The 20,533-nt window shown below is 52.8% G+C and overlaps 1 protein-coding gene across 16 annotated transcripts in view, besides 3 other annotated features; it reads right to left on the bottom strand.

Annotated features, from left to right (window-relative positions):
• The window catches only part of PSTPIP1 (proline-serine-threonine phosphatase interacting protein 1), a 42,796-nt gene that overhangs the window by 18,442 nt on the left and 3,821 nt on the right, over positions 1-20,533 (bottom strand). For 14 of the 16 annotated variants that reach the window (NR_135552.2, NM_001321137.1, XM_011522168.4 and 11 more), the window contains 2 exons: positions 786-886; positions 503-577 (listed from right to left, as the gene is read on the bottom strand). Coding sequence is in view for 14 of the 16 variants with exons in the window: in NM_001321137.1 (NP_001308066.1) it covers positions 503-577; positions 786-886 (176 nt within the window). In the remaining 2 variants the exon portion in view is untranslated. Of the gene's footprint in view, positions 1-502; positions 578-785; positions 887-10,968; positions 11,188-20,533 lie in introns of those variants that run through there. The other 2 variants (NM_001321136.2, XM_011522165.3) reach the window with 2 other exon arrangements.
• Positions 4,218-4,287: an enhancer, noted in NCBI's record as "active region_9886". NCBI's record gives its function as "activates an Ori minimal core promoter by ATAC-STARR-seq in GM12878 lymphoblastoid cells {active_cell/tissue: GM12878}" and the evidence as "EXISTENCE:reporter gene assay evidence [ECO:0000049][PMID:35858748]".
• Positions 4,218-4,745: a biological region, named in NCBI's record as "H3K4me1 hESC enhancer GRCh37_chr15:77306630-77307130".
• Positions 4,245-4,745: an enhancer, noted in NCBI's record as "H3K4me1 hESC enhancer chr15:77306630-77307130 (GRCh37/hg19 assembly coordinates)". NCBI's record gives its function as "activates a minimal SCP1, AML or CMV promoter by ChIP-STARR-seq in naive H9 embryonic stem cells {active_cell/tissue: H9 hESC(naive)}" and the evidence as "EXISTENCE:reporter gene assay evidence [ECO:0000049][PMID:30033119]".

Genomic DNA, 20,533 nt, shown 5'->3' with positions numbered 1-20,533 from the left:
CCATCACTGATGAGGAAACGGAGCCACAGAGTGTGTCAGCAGCCAGCCCATGGTCAGACAGCTGGGGGGTGAGGAGCTGACACCGGAACCCAGGTGTGTCCCCTCCTGGACCCCTGTCTCTGGCTACATCTCCATCCTTGAAGCCCATGCTGAGCCAGTGCTGCAGGGGACTTGAGCCACCAGTGGAGACGCCTGTCACCTGCCCCTCAGGACTTCAGTGGAGGCCACCCAGGCTGGTGCAGACTGCGCTGCAAATGACTGAGGATGGATGGCCTCCTGTCTCCCCTGCCCAGACCCTTTCCAGAACTCAGACCCTCGGGCTTCCTCCCTCACAGAACCTGGCCTCACCCTGAATGCCCAATAACCAGGCACCAAGGAGCAATCCAGACCTACCCTGGTTCTGCCCAGCCTCCCCCATGCCAGGAAGACCTAAACCTCATCTAAAGGCCCAGAAACTGCCAGCAGAGGAGAGGAGTGAGCCCCAGGGCCCGGGAGATCTTACTTGATCTCCGTCTGGCCACCTGCCTTCCGTGCGATCTGCACCAGCTCCTTCCCGTACCGCTCCTCCGCCTGGGCCCTGCAAAAAAAAGGGCATTTGAAAGATCATCAGTGACTTGCCACCTCTGGGGGAGGCCCAGGTTTGAGGGAACACAGAAGAGTTTTTTAAAGCAGGGCGTGTTCTGACAGAGTTTGGCTGGGATGGGGGCCTCGTCCACTGTCCCAGGAGCCGAGCGGAAGCCACCTGCTTCCTGCCTGCGCTCCCCATGGCCTGCCCAGCAGCTCACCTCTGCCTCAGTAGCTCCTCCATGTCTTTGCACATCTTCCTGCCATCCAGAAGCCGCTGCAGCAGCACCTCGTAGCCCGTGTGGGCTGTGAAGTCCCTGCACTGTGACACAGGACAGAAGGACACATGAGGGCCACGACCAGGCGACACTGAGCACAGCCCTGTGGGGACCCTCCCACCATCTCTGGGAACAGCCTCCCTCCTGCCTCCATCTCCCCTGCTCAGGGCAAGCTCTTGGGACTCCAGACCTGGCTTTACACAGGCACACAGGAGGTCCCCTCACATCTGCAGAGGTGACAGGTACATAAGTGAGCCCCACCCAGCTGACAGGGCCGGGGGTGCCGGGCCTGGCATCTGGAGAGCTCACAGGACAGGACACACATCAGCATGAGATAGCAGATGGGAAGAGCCACCCTTAAGTCCCCCTGATGACAGCCAGGCCTGAAATTCACTCACTCACAGTGCCACCCTTCCAATATCCCTATCTCAGCTAAGTGGGGAAACCGAGGTGTAGGAGGGTGACATGTGATCGTATCCAGAGCGGCCCAGCTGGAAAGTGGCTGGCCTGGCCTTGAACCCCAGGCTGTCTGGCTGGGGTCCCTGCCCTTCACCTCAGCACTGTGCAGTCTCCATGACCATCACAGCAATTGCGGTTTCTTGGGCACCAGCCATGTGCCAGATGCTGCGCTGGGCTCTCTGTGGGCTCAGGAAACCCCCCCTCACGGAGATCCAGGGAGGTGGGCATGGAGGGTGACTTCAGTCCAGGTCAGAGCATGCGCAAGCACACCCTACATTCACCTCTGGACTGGGGTGGGGTGGGGAGCCTCAGAGAACTCTCCAGGGACAGCTACCCTCTGCTGCCTGGCACTTGCCCTGCTTGCCCTGGCTGTTGTTCCTGGCCAACCCAATTCTCCTTTCTCACTGTGCAGTGGATTCCAGGTGTGTGTCTGAGCTGCTGGTGTGGGAAGCTGGGTGTGAGAAGTTGGGGGAGGGAGGTAGTCTTTAAGGACTATGAAGGAACAGAGGTCTCCCAGGACATTCCCAGGCTTGGGGAGTGGGTCCCGGGGCCAGGATCCCCGCCACAACCCCCTGAGCTCTCCCAGGCACTGCACGCAGGCTTACTCCAGGGGAGCTTGAGAGGTGCTGGGGAGACAGGATTTTTGTCACCAACTGCACCAAGGCAGGCCTGACATTCCGCACCTAGTCTGTCTTCCTTTCTATCCCTGAGGACCCCTAAAGCCTCAGAGACTGGAGGAAGAAGTCCCAGCTCCCCTGACCACACACATTACAGTCTCCAAGGTCACGCACACTCCAGGGTCGCACACACATGACTCAGGTAAAGCCTGGTACTCCTTCCCCTGACCCATGTCTCCCCTCAAATGCCACCTTAGGGGTGTGAGGGGAACAGGGATGGAGTCGAAATCCAGGAGAGCTCTCTGCAGGAAGAGGCATTTGAGTCAGGTGCTGGAAGGAGAAGGTATTCTCCAAGGTCTAAGAAGAATCTGAAGTAGGGGTAGCAATGGCATAAATTGCCCCAACAGTGCCCCCCCTCCCCACAAACTCCAGCCCACCCTCAGCAGGTGGACTCTCCTGGCCTGTAGGACACTTAGGACCCCAAGCTCCTACCCCCTCCATAAGCATCCCTAGAAATTCCTGAGGAGGGCCTGGTCCAGGCTCAGCTGTCCACAGAGCAACAAGCAGCGTGTCTAGCCTGGAAGGCCAGAAGCTGTCCCCCCAGCCTCAGAGGCAGGCGCCCACCCCCATGTCCAGGTTGACATCACTGGGTTAGCTTGGACCAGGCTTCCATTTCTGTGGTTTTGGTGGGCAGCTGCTTGCAGCCAGCAGCCCTCCCCTTCCCACCCCTCAGCCTCTGCCCTCACTCCAGACCCTCAGGTCAGAGCTCCTGGCGGCTGGGAAGAAAAACAAATCTGGGGCCTCAGCCTCCTGCACCTGCCCGGAGGGACACCAGCATTCATGTCAGAATGCCACAGACCCCCCCGCCCTGAGAACTGGGAACCACCTTGTGCGGCTTCCCTCACTCCTCAGGAAACTGAGGCCAGAGAAGGAAATGGCTTGCTTGACGCTGCAGAGTCAGGACAAGAATCCGGACTCTCAGGGGACCTGTCATTCCTTCCTGATACCTCTGGAGAGGCCACCTGGAGCCCAGCCCCACACCCAGCCCTGACGCCAAGGGAACCCTTCTCCTGTCCTTATGGAGGCCCCCAGAGTGGAAAGAGAAGCAAACCGAACCTACGCTGGCCATTCGGGAGGAGTCAGAAAGCAGCGAGAGGCCCTGCAGGCTGTGACCGCCGTGCTCAAGTCCCCAGAGGCTGCAGGCTCCAGGATCCCGCCCAGTCCCCCGCTCAGAGCTTTGGGCTGCTGGCAGGGGCTGTGGCCGAGTGAGCTACTGTCACAAGGACTGGGATGTTCCGAGGAAGTGCCTGACTCTCCAGGGGCTGCTCACGATGCCTCCCAGCCCTGCACCCCTTCCCCCAGCCCGCGCCCTCCTCCTTCACCCCCACCCCTGCCACTTCCTCGAGGGCATGGGTCTGACTCCGTGCTCTGAGCTGGGACAGTCAGGCTCAGGATGTGTTTAGGAAATGAATGAACCAATCATCCTGTAACTTAATCAGTCATGTGGGTCTGCCACCCAAGACCCAGCATCAGCATCACCCCCAGGGGACCTACCCTAGTTGTCCCCCACTCCTCTTACCTCCATCTCCCCTCATCCTGTCCAACCTCTGTCATCCGAATGCTGCCTGTGGCCCTGCCCTTTGTGAAATCTCTATTTATCAAGTCTACCTGGCACACACTGCACCAAGGGTATCATAGCGTTATCTTCCTGACCACAACACAGATCTCGGGAGGCGAAGATGGGGACAGGAGGCCCAAACAGGGAAAGAGACTGCCCAAAGCCACTCAATGGGTAAAGGGCAGAGTTTGGGATCTGAATGCAGGTCAACCTGTCCCCAAAGCCATATACCTACATCAGCCATTTAGTAGACAGCCCAGGAACCATTTTCTATTTTGGAACATCCAAACATGATTTGAAAAAATAACTCTTGAAAATGATTACTCAAATTATCTCCACCTCAAATCAAAGCTGTATTTTGGGCTATAATTCAGTTACTGTGGATTCACAGAGGCTAGCCTGGGGCCCAGGCTGGGTCAGAGGAGTGCGGCTCTGGGTAACCCATGAACAGCCAGTGGTCACGGCCCAGCCATGTGGCACCCAGGATAACCCGTCCTGGATTAGGGGTGCCAGGTGGGGAGCGGGCACAGTCTCTTCCTCTGGGAGGCTCACTTGAGCCAGATGTGGGACCCAGCCCTCGCCGTCCATGGTGTGTGGCCATCGGCCTCAGGCGGCATCCCAGAACTCCAGGAGGAGGCTCTTGGGAGGAAACATATTCCTGCCTCTGCCTTGAGGCAGTGTGGCCAAGGCCTGGGTGCCCTGTTCTGTCAGGGACAGCCTACTGGCTTCATTCTCTGGTGGGTGTTGGTGTGAGCCACGGCCCAGGCCTGTGAGCCGGCCAGGGCCCTCCACACCCCCACGGCTTGAGTGGAGAAGCACCCTCTGTAACTACCGCCACTTCCCCCTTTTCACGCCCATAACTCTTGGTGGCTGCAGGGGCGAGACCACAGACACCAGGGCCTGAAGCAAGCCACTTTACTTCTCAGGACCTGGTTTCCTCATTGGGAAAGTGGGGGCAGGAGGCTAACCCCCTTTCGGGCCCTGACAGCCCGCCCCTCTAGGGCACAGTCCTGTTAGTGTAGGCCACAGGTCAGAGAGGGTACTCGGGCCTGTTTGAGAGGCTGGGAAGGGTCTGACTGACTAGATGTGGGTTCACACCTCCCGTGACCCTGGCCCTTCTCAGCCTGTTTCCTTCCCTGTGAAAATGGGCCTAATAGTTCTCACCGCCTAGAGGTGACCCGAGAAGCAAGTGAAATCGTGCGCATAGGTGAGAACAGTGGACTCAAGATCAGGGCTCACCACAAGGCAGATACTGGGCTAGGGGTGATGACTACCATTTTATGGATGAGGAAAAGGTAACCCAGAGAGGTTACCCAATCTGCCCAGGGACCTGCCGGGTGCAGCTGGGATATAACCCAGATATCCCAAGCCACGATCTTGGCTGTTAACTTCCCATTACTTTGCCTCTCTGCAAAGCCCCACACTCAGGGCCTGTCACCCAGGGGCAGTTCAGCAAGCAGCAGCTCCCCGAGCCCTCCCCGCCTGCCTGCCACCTCCCCGACCAGAAACACCTTCCCTCAGCTGGGGCCAGGCTGGAAGAAATGAGTCACCTCATCACCTCCCCTCTCGCCCTACACACCTTCCTCCACCAGAGGTTCCATTTAAAGGGGAGCAGAGCCTTTTTCAAATGCTCCCTTGCCTGGCACTCCAGAATACAGCATCTATCAGAGGACAGCTAAGCCTCCAACCTTGGAGGGGGACACCTGGGTTTTGGTCCGAGTTCCTACCTGCTATGTCCAAGAACTGGCACCAAAATCTTCCCTGGGAACCAAGTGGGGGCCGTGGAAGGTAGCCAGGAAGAGCTGCCTGGTAATTCTGTCCATGAGAATAGCCTGACAGGGAGAGAGGAGCCCCTAGGAGAAGCTGAGTGGAGCAGACTATTGGGTGCAACGGGAGAGGTTGGAAGTGGAAGGCTGTAGGGAACGGAGTGGTCAGGGACTCCAGGGGGGCAGGGTCACCAAAAAACCTGCCCAGGTGCCAGGGAGAGAAAGGGCTGACCTGTGTGCATTCACTGTCACCAGTTACAACAGTACCAGGGCAATGAGATGTTTCTCCCCTTTACAGTCACGGCCTGTGCCCCACCACCCCCCCATGGAGACCCCAGAGGCAGCTGGCAGTGCAGTGTGGGTACCCCATGGCAAGGGAGGAAACTGACCCTGTTCTCTTTTCCCCATCAGAGGCTTCCAGTGAAAGTCGGGGAACTGGGGAGCTTTAAATTGAATGAGAGTGAAATTGTGATACTAGCTTGGACTGGATTGGGTTACACCTGAAGATGACTGGGAAAGCTCCAGCATGGGCCACAGGTGGGGAAGCAAGACGTAGCAGCAGCTTTGGAAGGTAGCTGCACGGAGCTGCATGGTGCTGGGGTGCTCTCCTCCCTCACACCAGCAGTGACATCTGCAGCCAGTGTGGCTGACACTGTGGGTTTGCTAGCACCTAGTTTCCTGTTGCTTGTCTTCTGTGGACTGAAAACCTGAGGTAGGAAGGGCTGAGCTCCATGGAGGCAGAGGGGGGTCTTTCAGGTTCCCCACTGGATCCCGGCACCTGGTGCCTACACACAGCTCTGCTCACAGACATGCTGAGTGATGGGCTGGAGAAGCGCCTCAGTGAGGCCTTCAAGAGGACAAGGCCTTATGACGGCTGCTTCCTGAGGTGCCCCATGGAGGGGACCAGATCATTTGCTTGCAGATTCAATGACCCATTACCCAGCACCTTTAAAGAAGCCAGTCACACTGGTCCCCTCTACTTCTTACAACAGTCCTCTGAGACAGGAATTATCATCCCCATTGTATAGATACGGAAACAGAGGCACAGGGATGCTAAGTCAATGGGTAGCAACCAGGCTCCTTCCACCGCCCTACAGTCAGTACCCCACAGTGGGACTCCTCTCCACCATTACTGGTTGGCAAAGTGAGGCAGGCAAAGGACCAAACACTCAGGTACAACTTGATGGATGGATGGATGGATGAATGGATGGATGGAAGGATGGATGGATGGGTGGGTGGATGGATGGGTGGATGGGTAGATGGGTGGGTGGATGGATGGGTGGATGGGTAGATGGGTGGGTGGATGGATGGGTGGATGGGTAGATGGGTGGGTGGGTGGATGGATGGATGGGTGGATAGGTGGGTGGGTGGATGGGTGGACTGGTGGACAGGTGGACAAATGGAGGGATGGGTGAGTGGGTGGATGCATGGATGGGTAGATGGGTGGGTGGATGGGTGGATGAGTGGATGGGTAGGTAGATGGATGAGTGGGTGGATGGATGGATGGACAGATGGGTGGACGGATGGATGGATGGACAGGTGGATGGGTGAATGGGTGGGTGGGTGGGTGGGTGGATGGATGGATGGATGGATGGATGGATGGATGGATGGATGGATGGCCAGAGCCCTCAGTAAACAAGGCGGTTGCTTACCCAGAGTATTTGGGAGGAGGTGATAGGGAGGGAAGGGAGAGTTCCAAGCCAAAGCTGTGAGGGAATGGCCTAGGAAAAGTCTCACCTGGAGATCTCTGTGGGGCCATCAGAAGCAGAGGGAGCACTAGTGGCTGGCATTTCCCAGCCCAAGCCAGGACTCATGGGGGCAGAGACAGGGAGGCCAACTCCAGGACAATGCAAGGAAAGGCTTCCCAGGAGCCTGAATGGCTGTAGGTATGGAAAGAGGGTGGGGGGCTTTGACAGGTGAGGAGCGCCCATCACTACAGTCTGTAAGCAGGTCTGGTTCCACAGAGAGGACTCAAGCCTCAGATGGCCTGTTAAACTAGGGACTTGGTGTCTAGGGGTCCCCTGACTCAAGTACTGCTGCGATCCATGTATAAGCAAATAAATATGGGATGAAGATGACTTACAGCTGTCTGAGATGGCCCAGGGTAAGTGTTGAAGACAGAGGGCCAAGAAGGCAAAGACAGACTTTTAGTTTTTAGAGAACAAATGTGCATTAATGTCAGATGAGCGACTCTTTGTTCACCTGGGCTGACAGGACCTTGAGATTAGAAATGAGTTTCCAGAGTGCCACAGTTCTCCTCCGAGTCCCAGTCTGATGGCCTCTGCCGGGCCTTACAGGGCCCCTCACCTGAGCAGCCCAGCTGGCCGAGTCCCAGAGATGCCTGGGCTGGGCTCCACTGTGCTGGGAGGCCCACAGGCCCGTGGCTGACAGGGACCCCATCAGAGCCCTGTGAGCTTCCAGGGACTCCCAGGGGTCCCACTGAAGGGACAACACAGGCACTGGACAAGGACACACTGTGCATGAGTGTGGTACCTGCCCTCAGCAATACTGACCACGAGGCAGCTACTGTCTGTCATGAAGATGAGGAAGGTGAAGACAAGAGAGGTGACTCTCTCTAATGTTGTGGGGCGTCTGGCTTTTGACCAAGGTCTGTCTGGCTTGAAAGCTTTGTTCTTTTAAATAGGCCTTCTCAATGATGAGGCAGGAAAGCACCCCACTGCCTGAGTTCCCCGCCTGCTTCCCCTCCTTCACTCTCATGGGGCCAGCCCAATCCCCACTTCTTTCTCCTGTGTCATGAAACCAAAACATGCAGAAAAGAGAGAGAGGGCTGGACGTGGTGGCTCACAACTGAAATCCCAGCACTTTGGGAGGCTGAGAGGGGTGGATCACTTGAGCTCAGGAGTTTGAGACCAGCCTGGCCAACATGGTGAAACCCTGTCTCTACTAAAAATACAAAATTAGCTGGGCGTAGTGGCGGGCACATGTAATCCCCGCTACTCGGAGGGTGAGGCAGGAGAATCACTTTAACCTGGGAGGCAGAGGCTGCAGTGAGCCGAGATTGAGCCATTGCACTCCAGCCTGGGTGACAGAGTAAGACCCTGTCTCAAAAGAAAAAGAAATAGAAAAGAGAAGAAAAGTGAGAGAGGAGGCAAGGAGCAAACACAAGGCGGCCAGAGGTAGATGGAGACACGCCCCTCAGACTCAGCTGCCTGGAAGTCCAGTGCTAGTGCTGTTCCTGTGCAACCTGCTTCAAGGCAGCAGAGACAGGTGCAGGGAGATGGAGCAGGTGTCTGTAAGGTGGCCTGAGGCCAGACTGAGGAGAGCCAAGTCACACACAGCAAAGGGCAGGACCTTCCCAGGAGGTCATAGGAACCAGGACCAGGTTCCAGGTTCAGGGGAAGGGATTGAGTGTGCGGTGCCTGGTGGGGCTCTCACGCATGATCCCCTCCAGTCCTCAGGGAACCCCGTCAAGTTAGTACTGTGCTGTTACTGTTCCATCTTACAGGCAGACAAGGAAGTGAGGATAACAGTGACTTGTCCAGGTTACACAGCTCTGTACCGCCCCTGCCAAGCTGATTTGGCAGTTGGAGGCTCACTAGGATCCAGCAGTGGGCGAGGAAGGAGGCCGACAGTGAGGGCAAGTGAGGAAGGGAGGCCGTGGGCCCTTGGGGGTGACTGATGCAGGGGAGGATGGAGCTGAGCCACCCCAGACCCCAAGCCCTGGAGGAGGCACTGACCCTGTAGCCAGCCAGGAGGGGTCCAGGCGTCTTCACAGGAAGAGCACGGCTCCTTGCCGAATGGACTCCCGCCTGTGAGTGACCAGCCAGGGGCACCAGTGGTCCAGGCACTGTCATTGCACATCCCCGTCCCCAGGCATTGCCCTCCCACACCACCTACGCCTGCCAGGGATGTCCCAGGGGAGGACAGGCCCACAGCGAGTCCAGGCAGTGGGGCGTGACAGGGCTCAGGCACTGGGTTCTGGTTCTGGCCAGTTCCACACAGTCTGCATGAGTCACAAACCTCCTGAGCCCAGATTCCTCCTCTGTGAGATCGGGATGAGAGCATCACCCACTTCCAGGGGCTCTGAGGACTGAATGGACAACACCTGCAGGAGCCTCATGCAGGGCATTTGACGCTCACCGGGCTCCTGGAAGGGCAGCCGAGGGGATTCATGCATGTTAACTGAGAGGAGCCCAGGGAAGGGGCGTTTACAAGGAGAACTGGGTTTGATCCTAGCTGGGACACTTCTCTAGACTAGTGGCTCCCACTCTCTGGCCTCAATTTTTTCATCTGTAAATTGGGGAGAATACGTGGACTCCTAAGCCCTTATAGGGCTGATATGAGGTGCCTGCTTTGCGGCTGTGATTTGCTGTAGGTGTGAGGGCTGGCAGGCTCCCCTGGGCTTGGGACTTGCTCAAGAGACAGAGATGGGCCCCTAGAGCTTCAGAGGAGCTCCACTCCTATGCCCGTGCCCTTCCTTGAAGGCAGGGACCCCTGCAGCCTCTGGAGGCCCTTTGGCTCTCTCTGCCATCCTCAGCAGGTTCAGGGCCTCGGAGCTGAGCCTGAGGCCTTCCGTGCCTGGGGGGCTAGTTGGACTCCACACCTGCAGGGGATGGCACGTGGGGCTCCTTATCCTTGCTTGGCCATTAACCTGCATGTCTCCACTCTCAATCCTCTAACCACCAAAGTTAGTTTACTACTACAATATTTACAAACAAGGAACCAAGGCTCAGAGAGTTGAGGGGCTCCCCAGGACCACCCATGAGTGTAGTAGGATCGAAGCGGGCCACTGGGCTCCAAGGTCAGAGTGAGAGACAAAGATGGCGCCTGCCAAGTAAAGGCTTCTATGTTGGAGTCTGGGAAATCGCCCTGCTCTGCCCAACACAGCCAGTGTACATGTTACACACAGCCGCATGGTGGAGAAACACGACTCTACTTAGAGTCAGATGCTCCCCCTACCCCAGGCCTGGGGGCTGTGTGAGGAGCCTAGTGCTCTCTGGGACCACTCACTATTTAACGTTTTACTCTCAGCCTACACAGAGGTAGGACTCAGATCAAGAATGCTGGGCGCAGTGGCTCACGCCTGTAATCCCAGCACTTTGGAAAGCCGAGGCGGGTGGATTACCTGAGGTCAGGAGTGCGAGACAAGCCTGGTCAACATGATGAAACCCCATCTCTACTAAAAATACAAAAATTAGCCGGGTGTGGTGGCGGGCACCTGTAATCCCAGCTACTCGGGAGGCTGAGGCAGGATAATTGCTTGAGCCCAGGAGACGGAGGTTGCAGTGAGCCGACACGGTGCCACTGCACTCCAGCCTGGTCAACAGAGTGGGACTCTGTCTCAAAAAACAAACAAAACAAAAAGACTGCCAGACCCTGAGTGCAAGCTCCTTCCCTTGAGGACTGGGAGTTATCTGAGGACGGGGATGAAATTTCTGCAGCTTCAGAGCGGCTCCTGCTCTGACCCTAGACCCAGGCTCAGCTGCTGGTCTTCCCTTGGTCCTGGCACCAGCCACACCTGTTTCTTTGGTTTCAGGGTCAGTGAGAATCCTCACAGATATCCCCAAACACCCCACCCACACCCTGTGCTTCCCTGTGCTGTGCAGACCTCACACCTGGCTGCGTTTAGTATTCACTGCAGCTCCAGGGACACTGATCCAGACTTCTGTGCTGATCTCCCGCCCTCCACCCCCAGCTCTGCTTGCCTGAACCATCCTCAGCTGTTCTGGGTCTTCCTACCACCTGTAGTCTGATGTCCTGATGCCTAGGAGAGTGGGCTCAGAGCTGGTCCAGGTCAATGGGCAATTGTTCAGGAGGTGACCAAGAAGGGAATCCCTTCTGCTTCAGTGACTGCAGTCCTCAAAGTGTTCTATTGCCAGTCGGGCGCGGTGGCTCACACTTGTAATCCCAGCACTTTGGGAGGCCTAGACGGGCAGATCACGAGGTCAGGAGATCGAGACCATCCTGGCTAACCAGTGAAACCCCGTCTCTACTAAAAATACAAAAAAATTAGCTGGGCATGGTGGTGGGTGCCTGTAGTCCCAGCTACTCGGGAGGCTGAGGCAGGAGAATGGCGTGAACCCAGGAGGCGGAGCTTGCAGTGAGCTGAGATTGTGCCACTGCACTCCAGCTTGGGCAGCAGAGCGAGAGTCCATCTCAAAAAAAAAAAAAAAGTGTTCTGTTGCCCAGGCTGGAGTGCAGTGGCATGATTACAGCTCACTGCAACCTCGACCTCCTGGGCTCAAGTGATCCTCCCACCTCAGCCCCCCAGGTAGCTGGGACCACAGGTGTGCACCACCACGCCCCAGCTAATTTTTGTATTTTTTGTAGAGATTGGGTTTTGCCATGCTTCCTAGGCTAGTCTTGAACTCCTGGGCTCGAGCAATCCACCTGCCTCAGCTTTCCAGAGTGCTGGAATTACAGGCATGAGCCACTGCACAGGGCCAGAAGTCTGATTTTTATCCAGGCAAGCTGAGGCCGGGACAGACATTAATTCCTTGCAGGGTCTTATCTTGATCCACTGAGGAAGTTGGTGACCCAGCCTCCAGGCCTTCCCTCCAGACCCTCCTTGAAGAAGAGTGAGAGCAGGTGGGGCCTCAAGGAAGCCGAGATGTCATAGATGGACCTTCTTGGGGAGCTGTAAGGCAGAGCAATCGCAGGGAGGAGCCCACAACCCAGGGGCCCTCTAAAGCAAGTGTCTCCCTACACATGCCCAGGGTGAGAGTATGATGAGGAGTTTGTCACGGACTCGTGGCCAGTCCAGGCTGGGCAAACTCAGGAGGGTCCAGGCCTCAGTCTCCTCACCTATAAAAAGGGAACAACAAAAGCAGCTCTACTCGGGCCCCCAAAGAGCCAAAACAATCTTGAAAAAGAAGAATAAGTTTGGAGGACTCACACTTCTTGATTTCAAAGCTTACTACAAAGCTACAGTAATTGAAGTAGTGCGGTAGTGTCATAAGGACAGACATATAACCAATAGAATGGAAATAGTGAGCTCAGAAATAAGCCCTAACATATATGGTCAATTGATTTTTGACAAGGGTGCCAAGACCATTCTATGAGAAAAGGACAGACTTCAACAAATGGCGCTGGGAAAACTGGATATCCACATGCAAAAGAATTAAGCTGGACCCTTACTTTATACCATATGCAAAAATTAACTCAAGATGAAGTGAACACCTAGATGTAAGACCTAAAGCTACAAAATTTTAAAAGGAAAACATAGGGAAAGCTTCATGATATTTAATTTGGCAATTATTTCTCTGATATGATATTAAAATCATAGGCAACAAAACAAAGAGTAGACACATTGAATTCATCAAAATGAAAAACTTTTGTATATCAAAACAGTGAAAAGACACTCCAGAGTGGGAGAAAATATTTACAAATCATATATCTGATAAAGGATGAGTATCTAGAAAATATAAAGAACTCCTTCAACTCAACAATAAAAAGACAACCAATTCAAAAGTGGGCAAAGGTCTTAAATAGACTTTCTCCAAAGAAGGTACACAAATGGCCAATAAACACATGAAAAGATGCTCAACATCATTAATTATTAGAGAAATGCAAATCAAAACTACGATGAGATATTACTTCATGCCTCCTAAGGTGGCTATGATTTAAAAAAAAAACAGAAATTAACAAGAGTTGGCAAAGATATGGAGCAATTGGATCCCTTTTGCATTGCTGATGGGAATGTAAAACTGTTTGGCGGTTACTCAAAAAGTTAAACATAGGATTACCATATGATCCAGCAATTCCACTCCTAGGTATAATCTAAAAGAATTGAAAGCAGGGTTTCAAACAGGTACTTGTACACCAATGTTCATGGCAGCATTATTCACAGTAGCTCAAAGAAACAGCCCAGTGGTCATCAATGGATCAATGGATATACAAAATAAAGTATATACGTAGAATGGAATAGTATTTTGTCATAAAGAGGAAGAAAATTCTGACATATGCTATGACATGGATGAGCCTTGAAGACATTATGCTAACTGAAATAAGCCAGACACAAAAGGACAAATATTATCTGATTCTACTTACAGGAGATGCCTAGAATAGGCAAATCCATAGAGCTAGAAAGTAGAATCGAGGTAGAACAAGGTATGCGGTGAAGGGGTGGGGAGTTATTGTTTGATGGGTACAATTTCTGTTCAGGATGATGAAGCAGTTCAGGAAATAGTGAATGTTCTTAATGCCTCTGAATCATATACTTAAAAATTGTTAAAATGGTCAATTTTATGTTACATATAATTACCACCACCCCCAAAACTTCTAACCTCTGCTCACTCAGGTGAGTCAAATGAGGTCAGGAAAATGGTAAAAACCAGATGTATGCCTATTGTCAGCAATGGTAATTTTTGTTTTGTTTTGTTTTGATATTGAGTGTTTGCTCTTGTTGCCCAGGCTGGAGTGCAGTGGCACAATCTTGGCTCACTGCAACCTCTGCCTCCCAGGTTCAAGCAATTCTCCTGCCTCTGCCTCTCAAGTAGCTGGGATTACAGGCATGCACCACCATACCTGGCTACATTTTTTGTATTTTTAGTAGAGACAGGGTTTCACCATGTTGGCCAGGCTGGTCTTGAACTCCCGACCTCAGGTGATCTGCCCACCTTGGCCTCCCAAACTGCTGGGATTATAGGCATGAGCCACCATGCTTGGCCAGCAATGGTAATTAATTACCACAATTATCTATGTTGATGCCTCTCAAGCTAAAGTTCCACATGGAGGCACTGGGGAACTTTGAAAAATACTGATGTCCAGGTCCTACCCTCAGAAATCGGGGTGTAATTGACCTGGGGTGTGGCCTGGGCATTGGGATTTTTTAGAATGACAGTCCTACAAGATCTGGCTCTCTGCTTCTCTTTTCTTTCTTTGTTTTTTTTGTTTGTTTGTTTGTTTGTTTTGAGACAGTCTTGCTCTGTTGCCCAGGCTGGAGTGCAGTGGTGCGATCATACAGTCACTACAGTTTCCAACTCCTGGGCTCAAGTGACCCTTCCACTCCAGCTTCCCAAGTAGCTGAGACTACAGGTGTGCACCACCAGGTACAGCTAATTTTTGTACTTTTTTTTTTTTTTAAGAAGTGGTTTCACCATGTTGCCCAGACTGGTCTTGAACTCCTGGGTTCAAGTGATCTTCCCACCTCAGCCTCCCAAAGTGCTGGGATTACAGGTGTGAGCCACCACGCCTGGCCACTGTTCTATTTCTTACCTTATCTCCAACTACTCTCCACCTTGGTCACTCTCTCTAGCCACGCAGGCATGCTCTTGCCTCAGCCCATCACCCCCTGACTTCCTCCCCAGTGTGGCTGTTTCCCGTTCCTGTTTCCACAGCTGGGAAGCCCTGAGTTCCATCTGGCCACCACATCCCCACACTGGCTGCTGGTCTCCAGGGCTCCAGCTGGCACTTCCTGTTGCCCAATGGTGGGTGGCCTGTCAACACCAGTGGAAGGAGCTGTCGCTCTCCTGCCTGTTCCATCACCCATTGCTCAGTGTGCCAGGCCTCAGCAAACCAACACACCCTCCCATTAACTGCAAAGGGCTCTCTGACCCAGACCTGGGAAGGTGGCATCCAGGCCCAGCCCAGTCCGATCCATCTGTGTGGCATCCCCCAGGCCCACATTCCTTCCAAGAGGCTCAGTTTCCTCTCTGTAAAACAGGAATAAGAATACTGACCTCACAGGACTATTGTTGGAATTAAGTGAGATAACATAGATCATCTTGTTACTTGAAACCAAAGGAATGATTCTCTAATGGTGGAGTATAACATGCAATGGTGAACATGATTGGAGGAGGCATTCTGAAACAGCAAGATCTATGTATAAGGCTCACCCTATGGGTGCATATCCAATTATAAATCTGGGTCCCCTGGGAACTGTTCCTGGTCTGCTACTCCACTGTGGTGAGCAGGAGGTGGTCCCTTAGCACTGCCCTGAGCCGCCCCAACCTCAAAGCCCTTATCTTAAGTGATGACGACCCTGACATCCTGCAGATGAGGAAACTGAGGTTCAGAAAGGGAAAATGATTCTCCAAGGCCACCTAGCAAGTGTGGGTGAGGGTTGGGTGAGGCTTCAAAGAAGCCCGCTTCCTTCTTCTTCTTTTTTTTTTTTTGAGACGGAGTTTCGTTCTTTTGCCCAGGCTGGAGTGCAATTGTGAAACCTCAGCTCACTGCAACCTCCACCTCCTGGGTTCAAGCGATTCTCCTGCCTCAGCCTCCTGAGTAGCTGGGATTACAGGCATGCGCCACCATGCCCCGCTAATTTTTTTGTAGTTTTAGTAGAGACAGGGTTTCACCATGGTGGCCAGGCTGGTCTCGAACCCCTGACCTCAGATGATCCACCCGCCTCGGCCTCCCAAGAAGCCGATTTCCTTCTAAGCCTGGAGGATGGAGCATGACTGAGTCTGTGAGGGAGGAACCTTCCAGAGCCAACCCAGAGGAGAGTCCTGGTGTGGGCAGCCCAGGGCCCAGGGCATCATGCTCTCTAGCTGGAAGCAGAGGCAGTCTTGGTTTCCACCCAAAGTTCCCTCCATCATGTGGTTTGCAGCGTCAGCCAGGCTCTGGGTGAGGAGGAAGGGCATCCCACTCACAGCCCGCAGCCTCTGTCCTCTTTTGCATGAGAGGAAACAGCCACCACCAGAGAGGGTGCAGAGAGGCAGAAGAAAGTATCTCTGCCACCACTTAGGGCAGAGACCTTTCACAATCCAGCTCGTGCCTTCCCTTCCTACCAGTCACCTTGCACAATGCTCTGGGCCAGAAAACTGTCTTCCAAACCCCCTTCCACACCTTTGCCCATGCCGTACCTCCCACCTTGAGTGCCGTTTGTCCTCCTGACATGTCTCAAATCCTCACCCACCCTTCAAAGCCCAAAGCAAGGCCCTCCTTCTCCATCCCAGGGGCTGCCCTAGTTCTGTGTAGATGTCAGGAGCAGCCAGGAAAAGCATGTGGGTTCCAGGGGACTGGAGCACAAAGTGGGTCATCAAGAAGCAGATCTTGTTTTTTATCAAGAATAAAATTGAATTCAGAACACCAAATCGACCCAGAACCCTGCAGCCAGCAAATCCTGGCAGTGACCATCTGCAGGCATCGCAAAAGCAAAGCAAGCATGACCACAAACCTCTGCAATCTTCTAACACCTGAGCAGCCGGCCACGTCCTGTGGAATGGGCACAGATGAACGAAGTTCTTGGTCCCCAGAGGCCCACGTACCACAAAATATGCACCGAGCATGTGGAAAAGGGCATGCTAGCAAACCACAAATTTGGCCTAGAAACACCAACTCATTCTTGAAAGCAGGAATTGCTTAGTTTTCTTTTTAAATATTTTCTTTTTAATGACAAAGGTACTCTGTATTGACTTGCAGAAAATTAGATGGGGGATGGAGAGAATCCTACTTCCAAATCCATAGACACCAGTGTTAACATGTAGGGAAGCATCCTTTCATCCTACACAAATTAAAGTAGAAGCAAGAACAAACTCTCTAGAATTCAGGGCAGAGGGCAATAGAGTTCGACAGACCTAGGTGGGAGTCCCTGCTCTACCCTGCACAGGTGACCCTCGTCTGGGCCTAGACCTGCCGTGCCTTAGGTCCCATCACAGAGTCAGGAAGACACTGACAATGCGTTTGGGGGCATGTGGACTGAATGGCAGCATGCCTGGCATGGAACAGGCACTCAGCAAATGGCAGCATTGCTGCTCCTCAGGGGATGATGTAAGTAGCTGGGATTCAGGGAAAAATTCTTCATGGGACTTGAAATAAATGTCCTCTTTTTCATTTTTAATTGTTTGATTTAATTTTTGAATAATTAATACATTCATATGGTTCAAAAATCAAACAGTATAAAAACATCAATCCTGAAAACGTTCACAGCCGCTCAGCCTCATCCCTCATCCATCTCCTTTCTCTCATTCTCCCAACAGGCAACCACTTTAATTAGCTCCCTGTGCATCCGTCCACAGATTTTTGTTGTTAATACTACAAGCCTGCGCCAGTATAAATGCTTATTTCCCCACTTTTCACAACGGGTTGCCGACCAGGTGCACTGCCAGGCTCTCTGCTTTTTACAGGGAACACCAGGTCTTAAAGAGCTTTCCCAATCAGGAAAGGGAGAGCCTCCGTCCTCACTGCTTCTGACAGATGCAGCCAGGCAGGTGCCGGGAAGGTACTTGGTGGCAGCAAAGGCAGGATGGCCAGGGCCTCTCTCTCCCACCTCCTGCACTGTCTGCAAGCTCTGAGTGCACCAGGGCCACTCCTCAGCCACTGGCCTCCTTGGCCCTCAAAGCCACAGCAGTTTGCTGGGCTGCAAGGCCTTCCACAAAGTCAGTGCAGGCTCTGGTTTCCAGCAGGGCCCCATCCACAGGCCCTGACCCTTCCAGGCCATTCTGGGGTCCCTCCTTCCTGTGTGAAAAAGCTCCTGCCCAACCAGAGGACTATGGGGGATCCCAAAGTGACTGCTAGTACCCATGGCTGGAGAACTGGCCCCACTCTTTCACCCAGAAATGCCTCCTTCCCTGGAAAATAGCCATTAGCCTCCTCTGCCCAAAGAAATAATCCCCAAGTGAAAAACCTTTATAGTCAAAGATCTACCCATGGTGTCACTGTCCAGAATAATAAATAATTGGCAGTAACCTAAATGTTCAGCAGTGGAGGACTGGGCAAAAAAAATCACAGCATGGTCACCAAATTCACAAGCTAGAGAACTGTGCAGCCATGAACAGTGGTGTTGCTGAAAATGAGGAACCCATGTCCACACCCACAGGTGTTCCCGATGGAGTGAGTTACGCTAAAAAAAGGGGAGGGTGGCAAAGTGTGAACAAACCTAGCGCTACTGAACCATACACCACAAAAATGGTTAAGATGGTACATTTTATGTGTATTTCGCTACAATTTAAAATAAAATTTAAAATACTAGAAAAAAAAAGGAGGGAGGGCCGTGCATGGTGGCTCACGCCTGTAATCCCAGCACTCTGGAAGCCAAGGCAGGAGGATTGCTTGAGCCCAAGAGTTTGAGACCAGCCTGGGCAACACAGGGAGACCTCATCTCTGCAAAAATAAAAAATTTGTAAAAGAAAGGGAAAATACAAAATTATGTACACAATATGCTTGCACCTATGTAAGGCAATCTTATGCAAACACAGCATAATATTAGCAGTTGTGTGATGAGACTAAAGGTGCTTCTTCTTTTCCTATTTTTCTCCATTTCCCCACTTTCCTTTTAGGATCTTATATTAGTTGATTTTGTTTCTTTAGAAAGTGTGTGTGTGTATGTGTGTGTGTGTGTGTGTGTGTGTGTATATATATATATATATCTCTCTTTAAATGCCCAGGATGGAACAGGTGCCCAGCAAATGTCAGGCTCTCCTGATGCCCCTGGGCCATGGTAGACAGGTCTGGGGGTAGGGACAGGCAGCTTTATGACAGATCAGAGTAGGGCCCCTCAGTCCCCTTCTCTGTAGCCTCATAAATGGGCACCTCAGCATCTCAGAACTGGGAAGGGAAAAGGCACCAGTGGCTGAGTGCCACATAGGGAAGGGGCAGACCAGCCCAGCTGGTCCCACTGTGTGAAGCTGGTGAGTCACTGCCCCACTCGGCAGCGGTGCTGTCACCTGTTAAATGGGCTTGGGGAGGCTCAGCTCCTCCCAGTGTGGCACAGGGGTTTCTAGATAGAGCCAGAGCCCAGCCTCAAAGGAGAGATACACCCACATGTCAAGGGGAAAGTTCAGGCCTATTGTCCCCATACCCCCTTGGTGGTTCCCACCCAAAGGGTGGGTGACAGTCACTGCAGTGCATGTGACCCAGCCTCCCCAGGTCCTTACTTTTCCTTTTAACTACCCTAAAAGGAATAGGATGTGGATCTCAATAGAATCTGGTCCAGAACTAGATTTTCCCTCTTAAAACAATATCTAATGACATCTTTGCAAAGGCCATTGGATAGACATACAGGTTGCGGGGGATGGGGGACCTGGGAGAGGATGGCACAGTTGAGATACTGCTCCTCTCAGAGCACTCCTTGCCTGACCCAGTTATTCCTCCAGCCCCGGCACTGAACTATGGCTTCCTTCAGGTCAAGACAGTTTCATTCATCTGATTAGATGTTGCAGGGTGAAGAAGCTCAGGGGTCCAGCGTGGACCACCTAGTAGACAGCCCTACTCACCAAATATTTGCAGAATATAACAAAAGTGAAATGTAGTGCTGGGCGCGGCGGCTCACGCCTGTAATCCCAGCACTTTGGAAGGCTGAGGCGGGTGGATCATCTGAGGTCAGGAGTTCGAGACCAGCCAGGCCAACATGGTGAAATCTCATCTGTACTAAAAATACAAAAATTAGACAGACGTGGCGGCGCACGTCTGTAATCCCAGCTACTCGGGAGGCTGAGACAGGAGAATCACCTGACCCCAGGAGGCGGAGGTTGCAGTGAGCTGAGATTGTGCCACTGCCCTCCAGCCTGGGTGACAGAGTAAGATTCTTTCTCAAAAAAAAAAAAAAGTGAAATGAAGTAAAAAATGGGTTCAGGAAGGGAGATGGACCATGGAGACATTCACTGTCCATTCATTTATTCTATGAACACGTCCTCAGCCAGTACCCCACTTGTCAGCCCTGTGCAGAGGATACAGACAGACATTTCTTGCAATAATTTGGCCACCTGCTGGGAGTGGAGCCACGACAAACTGGGGGCAGGGGGAGGACCCTTCCTTCTCTGGGCTTCCCAGCGCCTTAGACTCAGTGCTAGGCCAGTGCCCTCTCCGCTCAGACAGCTGGTATTCTCAGATTCAACCTTGTCTCACTGACAGGTCCCACTCTGAGGCTCATTTACAAACTTCCTGCCAAGGTGTGATGCTCTTTATCATCTGTGTGTATCACAGAAATCACATTATCCCTTCCCTCCCTCTGTGGCTGGTCCGCCCTGCCTCACTCCTACAGCAGCGTGCATCTGAACACTCGGCTGCAGCTAAAATCAGGCTATAAATAAATACTGTGTGGCCACACTGACAAAATTGCAAAAACAGGCCGACTGAGGGACAGGACTGTGTCTGCTCCCATGCTGAGTGTCCCCACTACTTCTGTGCCACTACAGCTGCTTTTCAGACTGTTTCTGTCTCCTTCCTTGCAATCAGGCTGCTAGCTGCCTGTGAAACGTCCTTTCGTAGTCCAGGTCCATCAGCATTTATCCATCGCCAACTGTATATCAGGTACTGTGCAGACTGCCACTAATTGCTACATCTATAGGCTAAAAGACCCCATGACCAAGCTCATTAAAATTGTGGGTG

Source organism: Homo sapiens, chromosome 15 (genome assembly GCF_000001405.40).
Source record: "Homo sapiens chromosome 15, GRCh38.p14 Primary Assembly".
Taxonomy (NCBI): domain Eukaryota; kingdom Metazoa; phylum Chordata; class Mammalia; order Primates; family Hominidae; genus Homo; species Homo sapiens.
This window is presented reverse-complemented; position numbering and strand designations above follow the sequence as displayed.